Source organism: Homo sapiens, chromosome 2 (assembly GCF_000001405.40).
Source record: "Homo sapiens chromosome 2, GRCh38.p14 Primary Assembly".
NCBI lineage: Eukaryota > Metazoa > Chordata > Mammalia > Primates > Hominidae > Homo > Homo sapiens.
Genome location: NC_000002.12, coordinates 99,854,990 through 99,869,356, shown reverse-complemented (window position 1 = coordinate 99,869,356; position 14,367 = coordinate 99,854,990). Strand labels below are relative to the sequence as shown.

At 40.6% G+C, this 14,367-nt stretch overlaps 1 protein-coding gene across 20 annotated transcripts in view, besides 1 other annotated feature; it reads left to right on the top strand.

The window, feature by feature from the left end:
• The window catches only part of AFF3 (ALF transcription elongation factor 3), a 597,172-nt gene that overhangs the window by 273,234 nt on the left and 309,571 nt on the right, over nucleotides 1-14,367 (top strand). The gene's annotated exons all lie outside the window — the stretch shown is intronic.
• Nucleotides 844-2,043: an enhancer, noted in NCBI's record as "BRD4-independent group 4 enhancer chr2:100483776-100484975 (GRCh37/hg19 assembly coordinates)". NCBI's record gives its function as "activates an origin of replication core promoter dependent on BRD2, P300/CBP, MED14 and CDK7 cofactors, and independent of BRD4, by STARR-seq in HCT116 cells {active_cell/tissue: HCT116}" and the evidence as "EXISTENCE:reporter gene assay evidence [ECO:0000049][PMID:35650434]".

Sequence of the window (14,367 nt, the reverse complement as noted above, 5' to 3'; positions counted from 1 at the left end):
TTTATGGAAGGCCTTTGCTGAGATTTAAGAAGTACTGTAATATTATCAGCAGCAAAGTCTTTACAGATAAATGCTGTTGGGTATTTTCTGGGAAGATTGCAAATCCCGTCCATTTCTTGTAGTTTACCGCTTCCTGGGGACCCGCTTTTCTTGGTGTCAGATTTTTTTGGTGAAAGCCCTAAGCTGACTGGGTGCAGTAGGTGTGGCAGGTGCCACCTGGAAGTCCAGAACTAGGAACTTATATTAAAAATAGGACTGTTTGCTGGGCACGGTGGCTCACACCTGTAATCCTAGCACTTTGGGAGGCAGAGGCAGAGGCAGAGGGATCACTTGAGGCCAGGAGTTCGAGACCAGCCAGGGCAACAAAGCGAGACCATCTCTACAAAAAATAAAAATGTTAGCCATGCACAGTGGTGCACATCAGTAGTCCCAGCTACTCAGGAAGCTGAGGCCAGAGGATCGCTTGAGCCCACAAGGTCGAGTCTGCAGTGAGCCGTGATCAAACCACTGCACTCCAGCCTGGGTGACAGAGCGAGACCCTATCTCTAAAACAGAAAATAATAGGACTGTTGGGCCTTGGCATAGCTCCTTTTCTTCTATGCACAAAGAGACAGCTTCATACAAAAGAGAACACAGTGACCACCCAGAGAATAGTAACCTTATCCTCTTTTCCTCTTTGATATTGTTCAGAGGATCATAGATGATACTGGTTAAAATGCTCAAAAAGCCTCTGGATCATCCGAGACAGACTCACAGTTCTTGGTCCTCTTCCTCCAGGCCTCATTGTCTTACTGCTTCCATGTTAAAGCACCCAGACCCTTGTCCAGAACTTTTATAGCAAGATAAAAGATCCCTTCCCTGAGCAACTTCCTCCTGCTTTGGGACACATCTTCCCTCAGGGCACAATCTGTCAGACACTCGCTCGCCTGGCCTGCTGTCTCCCCTCCCGGCCTGATGTTGGATTTCAGTAGGTTGCAGCTAATGTTGAATATATTTCAGATGCTGTACCCTCTCTGTGAACTATGAAGACATGATTAGCAGATACAATTAGCTACTTTAGCATTAAAAAAAAATCAAAAGATCTAGATTTTAGTTATTGCCCTGTTGGTTATTACTACATTGGCTTCTGCAATAGTTTATTTCTAAAGCAGGAAGAGAGTGGAAAATGGGTAGACCTGAGAATACAGCATTTCTTTTTTCTTCTGAAGGAAAGAAACCCAGCACTCTTTCAAAAGCTGTGAAAGCATTCTCATGATCTGGTAGATCCCATCTGTGCGTTTTTCAGTGACATACTTCAAGTACACGAGCTGCCGTCAAAGGACCTAAAAAAAAAAAAAAAGGAAAGAAAGAGAGTCGTGGGTGTTAATGAGAGGGGCCCAGCTTGACAGCTGTGGGGGAACGCTAATCTCTCCCTCCACGTGCCCGCCTCGCCCAGGGGCGTGATTAGCCTGCTCACACTTCCTGGAGGAAGTCTGGCGTAATGAAGTGTCACCCAGAGTCTGGAATGCCCCAGTGGATGCGTCACTGTGTAGCCAGAGAGGTTATCCTGGCTCTGACCTCAGCACTGTCTTCTGGAAACCACAGGGAAATGGATGGAAGAGATGGTGAGCCCCTCCACTCCACTCTGCTTTCACTCCCGGGGATTGGGGGGATATGGAGAGAAAGAACAAGACATTAGCAAGGAACATTCCGAACACCTGCAGTTCTCACTTATCAAATGACTTTCTCTCAAGGCTTTTGGAGAAAGGGGGCTGCCAGCTATGTTTTTTTTTTTTTTTTTAATATAGAAATATAGGCCTTGGGGAGACTGTGTGGTGGATTTCTTGACTGCTGGAGGTTTCTCTTACTCCTGTGATACTAGGAAGTTATTCCTGGTCACTTAGTTTCCCAGCAGAATGACCTGAAAACTCATCTGCCGTAATACAAGCTGAAACTCCTGGTTTCTCCTCAGCTTGTCCTCCTGTCAGTTCCATTCAGGGGAGAGCCGCCTTATCTCAAACCCACTGGGACAATTCCCAGTCAATGTCAACCCCATTTGTGAGTGACTGTGACCATCAGAATTCTTCCTAAAGAAGGATCCTTCGAAGCAAATGCTATTCATCAAGTTAGGGAAGTTATGTTGCTAACTTTAATTTTCTCACCTTTTGTCTTCAAGTGTTGGGCTTTGTTAAATGAGTAGTGGGAGAAGAATGGCTACACCTTATGTTGAATGTTTTTGGTCTTTGTTAAGGTGTTGAAACTCAGCATCTAGTGTACTCATAGAATCCCCTTTCTTGTGAGGCAGGGCCCACCTATAGAAACTGAAAATGCCAGTGCTTGTTTTTTTTATTTTTTATTTTTATTTTATTTATTTTTTATTATTATTATTATTATTATTATTATTATTATTATTATGCTGTGTTACCCAGGCTGGAGTGCAGTGGTGTGATCTCAGCTCACTGCAACCTCCACCTCCCCAGTTCAAGTGATTCTCCTGCCTCAGCCTCCCAAGTAGCTGGGATTAGAGGTGCGTGCCACCACACCCAGCTAATTTTGTATTTTTAGTAGATATAGGGTTTCACCATGTTGGCCAGGCTGGTCTCGAACTCCTGACCTCAGGTGATCCGCCTGCCTCGGCCTCCCAAAGTGCTGGAATTACAAGCGTGAGCCACCACGCCCGACCGCCAGTGCTTGATTTTTTATCCCGCCTTGAAGCCAGGACTTAGAGCCATGACCCAGCGTGACCCAGACTCTTCCAGTCTGATTCAGCCTCACCAGACTTTCTTGTGGAGGCTGGTGACACAAAGACCTGGAGAATGATTGGAATCCCTTCCAGTGAGGAGGGTGATGATGGTGGCAGTTTCTTCTGGTTTCCAGGCTGCTGTTTTCCTGTAGCACCATCCAGCGTCCCTTGACAGTGATGTGAGCTCATGGTTCGCTGCAGAGGCGTCGTCCCAGACCAGCTCTGCAGTGCATGGCTGGGCTTTTTTTCTGATGATGAGGTCTTCAAGCCTATTTTTGCAGGTCTCCTGGAGAGTCTATGGGAAACCCAGTATTCTCTTTAAAATGCCATTCATTTCAATTTAAATTTGCCAATGTTGGCTTTGGCTGCTTTCTACTGAACACCATGTGGAGTTGGTTAGCATCTCTCTTGAAATGTGGAAGAACTGAAAAAGAGAGGTACATAGTGTAACTCACAGATGATTGTAAACCTCTCTGAGGTGGGGAGCTTAAGATGCATGCATTCCATTTCCAACCAGTCTAAGACTGAAATTTCAACTTTTGCCTTACTCTCTTCAGCAACCATGTGTGAATTGTGTCCAGAAGGTAGCCCTGTTTATTTCTGGAAAGCTTGAGTATTGCGAAAGTTTTCCTTAACTGCCAATCGGGCTGCCTAGCACAATGGCTGACACATCGTAGGAGCTTAACATATTTGTTGAATGAATGATTGAACTGTAGTGTCCATCATTGCTTCTCATTTTATCCATAATAGGCTTATAGAATAACTTCAATCTCTTGTCCACATCATAACCCTTTAAAATGTAAGCCTTTATGTCCTTGAGTTCTCACACCCCCGGAATAAATGCTGTCAGTGACTTCCTGTATTCCTCTTCTTTGAACACCTTCCTAATGGATGACATCTGGAGCCTTTGGTCTGTAAACAGGGTTGTCTCCTTCTTTGTTTTACATTATTAATCAAATTAATTTTTCATCAACTTGCTTCTTTGATGGCTCCCAACTATAACTTCTAAGTTTTAGACACACAGGGCTGCTAAGCTGCCACTCATATATATGTTCTTGGAGTTTCATCATTGGACCTACATATAATACCCATTTATCTCTATTACATTTCATTTTGCTGGGTTGGTCCATCCAGCTTAACCGAGATCTTTCTGAATCTGATTCTGTCGTCAAACACGTGAACTCTGTGTGGCTCACCCAAGCAATTTGACAGCCAGGACCTTCCATGCTCATGTAAATTATTCTTTGGCTTGTTATTTCACCACTCTCTGTCTCTAGAGCCTATTGCTCATGGGCCAAAGCTGCCTGCTGTTTTCCTTGAAGGCTTCAAAGAGTCCACTCAAAGAAGCTGTCTCATTTCCACTGGCTAAGATCGTCCAACTGTTGCTTTCCCCCACACCTGATGGCTGGGCCATGGCAATGGAAGCTGTGCCATTGTGCCCTTAGAGGATTTTGTCCACCCACCCAGCTTATATTCATTTCCATTCAGCATCTCACCCGACCGTTGCTTAACTGTCTGGTTTCCATCCAACCACCACATGTTCTCAGCAGTTTGGGCTCAGCAAATACACTGAGTGTTGCAGTGTTGTCAGATTGGCTCTGTTTCAGAATCTCTTTCCTTTCTATTCAGTGCTAAAGGAAGTTCATAGGGGACACTGATTAAAATGCCTCAGGAGCAACATGCGACATTCATGTCACCTCTCAGTCTCCAACTGCCAAGAAAGCATGACTCTGCCCTTTTGTTTGATTTGAATTTTGTGAGGTCTTCATGATGCTGAACTCTGCCTATCACACTCCCAAAGAACATATTACCTAGCCCTTACTATTTTATGCCCAGTGAACACATTGGACTGTGAAGCAGAATTCAGGCAAAGCTTTCAGTTCTCTTTCCCCGATGAAGCCCTTTGGTTACTTGCAGTGTTCCCTGGCATTGGCTAACATGTTAAACTTCAGCTTCTCATTGCTCATTGTTGGTTTGTCGGGTACCAGTCGCAGCAGAGTGTTTCTAGTATCTGGAATATGGGTGTCTTTCAGAGCAGTTGTGGGCAGGCAGCCCTTGAATGGCTGGTCATGAGGCCTTTTCATGACAATGGTAGCCTGTTAACTTGAGAGACTCTCCCAAAGGACTAGATGGATAGTTCTCCCAGCCTACAAGTCTATTTTTGTGTTTTTAAAAATGATTGTATAAAATAGATTGAACACAAGAGAGCCACCCTGGGGCTCTACTGCAGGCACATTGGAGACATTGTTGGTTCAGTCATTTTTGCCACTCCTGGCTTCCTCATCAAGGAAAAGAGTAGGTGGTACATGTAGGGACTTTTATCAGCAGATAAACTTATCAGGGACCCAGAATGGAGGTCCACCAGTGGGATCAGACACCTTTGGTAAAGGTGACAGTCCCAGAGAATAGACCTTGAACTTATTCCCCATCTGTTTTTTGCCTGTGTTATGCAGCCATCATCAGGTTCCTTGGATCACATAAGCACGGGAAAGCTAGATAAGCTGCAATTCTGCAAGACCACAGTGGCTGAGATTAGTAAGCAGCTCATCTAATCAGATGTTGCCAGTAGTGGTGAATTATTGCTCAGGACTCTGTGGCAACGATGGACTTTCTTGACTTCCTTTTGGAGGATTCTGTGGAATGGAGGCACCAAGTAGATGGTTATGTCTGCTTCTGTTTCCTGATATTCTGATGGCTTAGAAGGTCCTCATGTTATCTTTCTTTTGTCCCTTCTTTGTCATTTCCAACATGGAGAGTTTGCTCCACCATTGTGAAAGAAGCGACATCTTTGTGGCATATGCATTTCAAATGAAAACTGAGCATGAACCTGTCATGTTCTTTCATCTGCTGTATCCATCCTAATCTGGCCCAGGGCTGCTCAGTTGGGTGCTAACCACCAGCTGACTCATGCATTCTTGCCGCACTTAGCCCAATAACTTCTGGATATACCCTGTTTAAGAAGGGTCTGCCGTGTGGGTAAATTAGTCTCCATTAAATAATATTGATTGTATCTTGGGGTCAGAGCATCACGTATACATCAACAGCTGATTTTTTGAAGTGTTCTCTATAACATTGCATGTAAAAATCATAAATCAGAGGAATCCAAATATTTTTCCAGTATCTCTAAGTCATAGTTATTTAAGATACTTTATATAGTGGCTGAAGAGTTAGGGTTGGGATTATGCAAACTCTTCTCTGAAACTTTTTTTTTTCTTAAAGAGGAGACAAATAGAATAGTCTAACTGTTGATATTTGTGTGGTTTAAATCAGTCATCATCTGACTTCATAGCCCAAAAGAAAATATAATACACTGAAATAGTTATCTTTATTGCCCAAAAGCATTACTTTTACTCTGAAATAGTTATCCTTTTAGCACAAGATAAATTTTTACATTTTCCCCATTACATAGACAATGCAGAAGCTGTTGGCAAATGATAGAAACATCCATCTGTAAAAAAGCTTACGCTTTTCTTCTCAACCTCTGTTATTACTTGCAAAAATCAATGGCCATAAGGAATGAATAGTAGAGTCTTTATTGAGCAAGGTGGGCAGCTGTCTAGAAGGATGAATTAGTTTTTAATTTCTGTGCTGCCATTGCCTTTGCAGGAAACACATCCACTGAGATACTTGATTGAGTGTTTCTTCTAAAACCTATTTATTTTAATAAAAAATCTTTATAATATTAGTTTGCCAAGATAGCATCATTAGATTATAGGAAGTGGTTGGAGTAGAGAGTAGTGTGGAATGACCAAAGGGGTCTTTTTAATTGCCATTGTAACTACTTAATAAAAGAGGGACAGGAAGAGGAAACCTTTTGGTGTCTGGCACTAGATTTTAATTTAGAAGAGAAAATTGAGGAAGTTTAACCACAACCTCATTCGGTCCACTTCGTGATGACTTTGCCTTTGGCAGGCTAACACATCAAATAAGTTTCAAAGGTCCCTTTTATGTTTGTAAAATATTGTTTTACACTGGTTCTTACACAGGATGAAGAGCATAAAGGAACAAGCTAGGAATGTGGAAATTCCCTTTCCTCAGTAATTTGGGCCAACATCAGGACCACACCGTGGGGCACTGGGCCAGACCTAGTGATGTGGGGCATTATCTGTAAATGCACCTGAAAAATTAGATAAGGCTGTGAAAATGGAATTTTAGTGATCCAGGGTTTGAGAAAAGTCCTCTTGGCTGGAGTAAGGCATGTACGTAGGTCATATGATTGTTTCTGAAACATGAAACTCAGAACCCAAAAAGTTCAGCACATTTTGGCCCCAGTAAGTAGAAAACACCCCGGACATTATCTATGGATGAAATAGTGTGCTGCAGAGGACAGTCCCTGGCCGGAAGCTGGACCATTCCAGTGAATTCAGCAAAACCAGAGAACTCTACCCCGTGTTTTGACAGATTTAAGAGAAAATGCAGTAAAATTCAGCTTTTAGGAAAAAAAATAGGAAGTATAGATATTAAAAGAAAACCTGGAAACTTTAAAATCATTTATCATTAGCTACCCAGGATCACAATGATGAGGTCTTGGGGAAGGGTGGGGGAAGTGTGGGGGAAGACTTCAAAAACTAATCAGTGAAGAAAAGCAGTTTGGCCAATGTGGAGACTAAAACATCTTTCTAAATCTGCAGCAGTTCCCTGGTTGAGGAGAGCAGGGAAGCCTAAAAAAGGTGGCAGATGGGGAGTGTAAACAAGAAAATAGGCCATAAGAGAATTTTTGAGCAACTTGCAAAGTTTCTTTAAAAATAGTGATGAACAAATATATAGTAAAACTATAAAGAAAAGCAAAAGAATGACAAAAACACCAATTAGGATGGTGAAGGGGGTTTGATGAGATAATTGAAGAGCACAGTGGCTCTGGACATTTATTGTTATAACTTTGTACCTTACGCTGTTTGGGTACACAAATATTTATTTTACTGTTATTCTCTACAAGGTACATATACATTAATTATGTCCATTCTTTTGTTATGTATGATGCGTTTCAAGATAAGAAAACAAAAAGAGGAAGTGGTTAAGTACAGAGCAGCTCAACCAAAGCTTTATAACAGTGCCAAGAATACACTCCAGAATTTCAGAAGAATGATAACAACTTTCAAGTCTTGGCCTCTTCTAGTGCATGAGACATTATTTAACCATTTATTTTAAGTGTATAACCCATCTTATACACAGGTCTGTGTGGTAGGTTATTACCCTCATTTATGTAGTGGGGGAAACTGAAACACAGAGAGTGACCAGGATCAAATCCAGGTAGTTTGGCTCTAAAGCCCTTGTTCTTGGCCACTTCTCTACTCCCCATATCGTATTACCATAGAAAGAGCCTACATGTAAGTTTGCATGAGTTCTTACATTGAAAGGATCAACATATCTTTTGAATTGGCAATGTTGGAAGCTGCACATGAAACAGAGTCAGTGGCAACATCAATTTTGGAGCTGTTGACCAAAACCCATCATTTAACTGGCAACATTGCTGAAAATCTGGTCTGTTACCAGTATGATTTCTTTCCATAAGAAACCTAAAGAATTTGGATTTGTGAGTCACTTCCATCTGAAGCCCTCTGATTCTCTCCACAAAGGAGAGAATCACTAAATTCAAAGGGGGAGCTGTTGGTTAAGGGTACAAACTTTCAGTTATAAGATGGATACGTTCTGGGGACCTAGTGTACAGCATGGTGACTATTCATAATGCTGCACTGCTTACTTGAAATTTGATGAGAGAGCAGATTTTAAGTGTCTTAACTGTACATGTATACAAACTCACAGAACATGATAACTATGGGTAGTGACAGACACGTTAATTTTATTGTGATCATCTTTACACAATATATACATATGTCAGGTGATCACATTGTATACCTTGAATTATATACACTACTTTTATCTGTCAATTTAATTTTTTTTTTTTTCTTGAGACGGAGTTTTACTCTTGTTGCCCAGGCTAGGCAATGATGTGGTCTCAGCTTACTGTAACCTCTACCTCCTGGGTTCAAGCCATTCTCCTACCTCAGCCTCCTGAGTAGCTAGGATTACAGGCGCACACCACCACGCCTGGCTAATTTTTTTGTTTGTTTTTTGTTTTTTGAGACAGAGTCTCACTCTGTCGCCCTGGCTGGAGTGCAGTGGCACCATCTCGGCTCACTGCAAGCTCTGCCTCCCAGGTTCACCCTATTCTCCTGCCTCAGCCTCCTAAGTAGCTGGGGCTACAGGCACCCGCCACCACCCCTGGCTAGTTTTTTTGTATTTTTAGTAGAGACGGGGTTTCACCATGTTAGCCAGGATGGTCTCAATCTCCTGACCTCGTGATCTGCCCACCTCGGCCTCCCAGAGTGCTGGGATTACAGGCATGAGCACCATGCCCAGCTGCTAATTTTTGTATTTTTAGTAGAGACAGGGTTTCACCATGTTGACCAGGCTGGTCTTTAATTCCTGACCTCAGGTGATCCTCCCGCCTCAGCCTCCCAGAGTGCTGAGATTTCAGGTGTAAGCCACTGTGCCCAGCCACAATTAAATATTTTAATATAAAAATTTGTTAATAAGTTTAAAAAGTTAAAAGTGCAAGGACAACACTTTGAGGAACGGAGAGTGTGGTTTCTATATGGAAAATACCTGACTAACCCAAGTATCACATTTTTGAGAGAATATATGCATTTCTTAGTAAAGAATAACCACTGAAATAACTTATTTAGGTTATCCTTTTTTGCGGGGGGCGACCATAAGCTTTATTGGCTGAAAGTTCTAGGAGCCTGGTCTGCTAGGACTGGGTGTTCCTGGCTGATCACCCCCAGGCCTAAGCTCCCGGTTTCGTCTGGCCCTTCTGTAGCATGTTGTAGGTTACAACCAACTGATCAAAGATGATTTTTCCTGGTGCTTGCTCAGAATTTTGCAACTTCTTCTCTTGTTCAGACAAAGGCTTTGAAAATATTCTGTACCAAGAGTACTTTTTTAAAAAATTGACCTTTCATGTGATGAAAAATGAAGAGAAGAAAACGTGTTGAAGTAGACAGAAAATGAACACATAGAAAACAAAAATTAGGAATAAACAAATGCATTTCTAGATGATGGTGGATAATCATCGAAATCCTCTAGGATTAGGTATTGGCTTAGGATCTGGTTAGTTAGCATATTCATAAATCAGGGTTTCGCAAACCTGGTTGTAATATAAGAATTTCCTAGGGAGCTGGTTAAAAATGTAAAATCTTGGATCCCACCCCAGGGATTCTGACTCAGTAGGTCTGGAGTGGGCCCAGCAATTGGTAATTTTAACAGCAGTTCTAAATGCTTGTGCCGCCGGTGGTTCCCAGACCACTCTCAAAAGAAAAAGAAATTCCATGCTAAAAAGGATGTGGTTCTAGAAGGCAGGGTAGAGTGGCATGTCTGCAGATAGCTCCAGCTATTCTGAAGAGTAGTGCACCAGAGTGCTGAGGATAACTCACAGGAAAATCTTGAAAGACTGAGTGGGCAGCAAGGAGAAACATTAGCTTTGATGTGGGCAAGTGTAAAATAATTCTATTAGAGGAAAGCCATCCAAACTCAATTTAGCACTGTGCTTATGACAGGAGAAGCGGAGCTGCTTTATTTTGGCAGTTCTTCCAAAATGTGATTTAACCAAGCCATATTCATGGAGAATAAAGTTCCATGTTTATAAAGCAGGTGTATCGGTCAGCTATTACTGAAGATCAAACCACACCAAAATTCTGGGGCTTAGAACAACATTTGTTTTCTTTTTTATTTAACTTTTAAGTTCAGGGGTACAAGTGCAGGTTTATTACACAGGCAAACTTGTGTCATGGGGGTTTGTTGTACAGTTTATTTCATCAACCAGGTATTAAGCCTATACCCTTTAGTTATTTTTCCTGATCCTCTCCCTCCTCCCACCCTCCACTCTCCAAAAGTCCCCAGTGACTGTTTTTCCCCTCTATGTGTCCATGTGTTCTCATCATTTAGCTCCCACTTATAAGTGAGAACGTGCAGTATTTGGTTTTCTGTTCCTGTGTTAGTTTGCTAAGGATAATGGCCTCCAGCCCCATCCATGTCCCTGCACAGAACATGATCTCGTTCTTTTTTGTGGCTGCATTTTTTTTCTTAAGACAAGGTCTCACTCTGTTGCCTGGGCTGGAGTGCAGTGGGGAGATTGTGGCTCACTGCAGCCTCGACCTCCTGGGCTTAGGCAGTCCTCCCACCTCAGTCTCCAGAGTAGCTAGAACTACAGGTGCATGCCACCATGCCCAGCTAATTTTTTTTTTTTTTTTTTTGTAGAAACAGGGTTTCGCCACATTGCTCAGGCTGGTCTCCAACTCCTGGGCTCAAGCAATCCGCCCCCCTCAGCCTCCCAAAGTGCTGGTATTACAGGCATGAGCCACCACGCCCTGCCAAAACAGCAATTATTTATTCACTTTGCTTCCGTTGTGGGCCTGCCAGCCCAGGCTGGAACTGGTTGGGCCCAGCTCCATGTTGAAGGTTGAATTCAGATCTGATCTGCAAGTCAGTCCTCCTTCAACCATATGCTACCTGGGGCATGTCCTTTTCATGATGATGGTGGGAGTTCAGGCTGGTGAGCCCTGCTGAGCAAGCACATTTTAAGCCTCAGCTGCTGTCATGTCCAGTCCATCCCATTGGTCAAAGCAAGTTAGTTGACCAACCAAACTCAAGGGGTAGGGGAGGATATTCCATCCACAGTGGGAGGAGGAGGGGAGTGAATTATTTTCTGAACAGGAATCCAGTATAATGTGGTAAACCAGCTATTTTTCTTTAGTTTATGTCAGGGGAAAAAAGTCATTAATGAGATCTTGAATTCCATGGGTTTAAGGTCAATTTGAGGAGAAGGACTTCCCTAACTTAAAGGTAGTCAAGGAAAAATGTGACAATGGAGACACAAAGTACTTTGGAAGAATATAAAAGAGAATGATTAATTATTTTTAGGACCAAGGTTGAATTGAGTAGGGTTGAAGGATGAGTGGGATCCTTCACCATCAGACACAGGAAGTTGATCTGCTGCAAGCTGGGATTTGTGTGTGTATGAGCTCCAATGTTACATTCCTATATCTTAATGTTTATTACACCTAAAAAGCACAGCATATATTCACTTTAGTTTATTTTTCTAATGAACTCTTGACAGAATGACTTGGAAAAACCTCTCAGTTCTTGGACGTAAAGCAAATACAGTGAAATAAACAGCCCTGTAGTTAAACATCTGAGAATGCAATGATTGTATTAAACATGTTCTAAAAACTAAATCATACAGAATCATTTGATAATCAGCATAATTATTTTAGAATTAAAAATTATTCAGTCTTATAAACAAACTGTGACAATTGATCACAATTAATGCAAATAAGTAGGGTGCAGGATTATGTTCTGATTCTCTCTGTTGTGCCTGTAAATGAGTGGCACAATTATAGGAACAGTTTGCAAATGAGCTCTCAAACAGATACCAATTATGATTATTTATTTATTTAGAGTGAAAGATGATCAGTTTCACAGATGTTTCTCTGTAAGAAAATAAATATTCATTTGAGCAATCTTCTTGAAACCTATGTACCTATGCAAATAGTTTAGTAAAAAGTAAAGATAAAAATTAGAACACTATTTGTCTCTGTGGTTCTTTCTAGGAAAGGACCGAGGAACTTAATGAGTAGTACTCTATAAAAGCAGAACTCATTCATTTCTAACAGTAATTTCAATGCCAGAGGAAGGGAGAAAGTTTAATAGTTCTCTCCTATATGCCCCATGTCAGCCGAGTCATCATTTTAGAGAGTTTTCTAAAATCCTTTCTTCCAAACTGTCTCCAAAATCCTTTGAGAGATATGAATAACATTAACATACTTATATATAATTTAATACCCAAATAATCAGAAGTCTCATGTTCCTGGGTTTAAATGGGGTCTCTGGAGTTCAACATTTTCTGAAATGCTTGGCCATCCACTTAAGAAAGGATTAGGCGCCAGAAGGTTTTTTGTAAGCTGATTGTTTGAAACTTAAAACGTAATTTATCTAAGAAATAATGGTGTGAATAGTAGTTATTTGGTTCCAGAATAGTCCATAAGAATCAATTTATCTCACTCTCAAGCTAAACTAATACTAATGTAATGCTTCAATGTTATCTGTACTCTTTTTAAAACTTTTGCTGCTGTTTTGTTCCTTTTGTTTGGAGGCATAATTATGTGTAATAAAATTCACCAATTTTAAATGGACAATTCAATGAATTTGATAACTTCAGTATCTGGATGATCTCACTGTTGGCATCTGTTGTCTCTCCCCATGTGAGTTCATATTTTCCCGGTTCTTTGTATGCCTAGTAATTTTGGATTATATCTTGGACATTTTGAATATTGTGTAATAAAATTCTGGTTCTTGTTTAAATCATATTGTTAACATCTTATATTAGTATTGTATATTTATTACAACAAAGGAACAAATATTGATACATTATTATTAAGTAAAGTCAATATTTTATTCAGATTTGCTTAGTTTTTACTTAATGTCTTTCTTACTCTTGAATTTCATCTAGAATACCACACATTTCGTTGTCATATCTTCTTAGACTTCCATAGACTGTGACAGTTTTTCAGACTTCCCTTATTTTTGATGACCTTGAGTTTTAAGGCATATTGGTCTGACATTTATAGACTACCCCTCAATTTGGATTTGTATGATGTTTTTCTTATGTTTAGACTGGGATTATGAGTTTTAGGGAGGAAGACCACACAGGCAAAGTGCCAGTCTAATCATATCATATCAGGTCTACATACTATCAATATGACTTAGCACAGTTGACATTAACCTTAATCACTTGGCAGAGACAGTGTTTGACAGGTTTCTCCACTCCAGAATTATCCTTTTTCCCTCCTTCCATGCTATACTCTTTGGAAAGAAGTCACCATTGGCAGCTCAGACTTAAGGACTGGGGAGTTACGCTCCACCTTCTTGAGGGCAGAGTAGCTACGTAAATTATTTTAATTCTTATGCGCAAGATATTTATCCTATCCTATTTATTTATTTGGGCATTCATTTATATCAATATGGGATCATGAAAATTTTTTTAATACTTCACCTTATAATCCAATGCTACTTTGTTTAATTCTTTTCTTGTTCTAGCTTTAGCCATTAGAAGTTCTTTCTATTGGCTATCTGTCCTTTTGACATACTCCATCAAGGTATTTTTTTTGCTCTCATTTTATTGAGGTGATTGTCTTCTTAGTGAGCTCTAAGAGTTGTAAAGTCTGGTTACAAACCTTCTGCCAAATATATGTTTTGCAAATATTTTCTTCCAGACTGTGTATTCTCTTAATTTTTTTGTAACAGCTTTATAAGACATAACTCACACATCATACCATTTGCTAATTCAAAATGTACAATTCAGTTTTTACTGTATTCAGACTTATGCAACCATCACCACAACCAATTTTCAAACATTTCCATCACACCCAAAAGAAACCCTTTACCCTTTATATCTTCATTTTTTCACAGTTTTTTGAAGAAGAAAAGTATTTAATTTTAACGATTTTTTTGTAGTTTGTGTTTTTGTGTCTTATTTAGGAAATATTTTCGTAACCCCAAAATCATTGAGATTTTCACCGATGTTTACTCTTCTAGAAATTTTGTATTTTGGCTCTTATATTTAGGTCTGAGATCCAGTTTGGGACGAT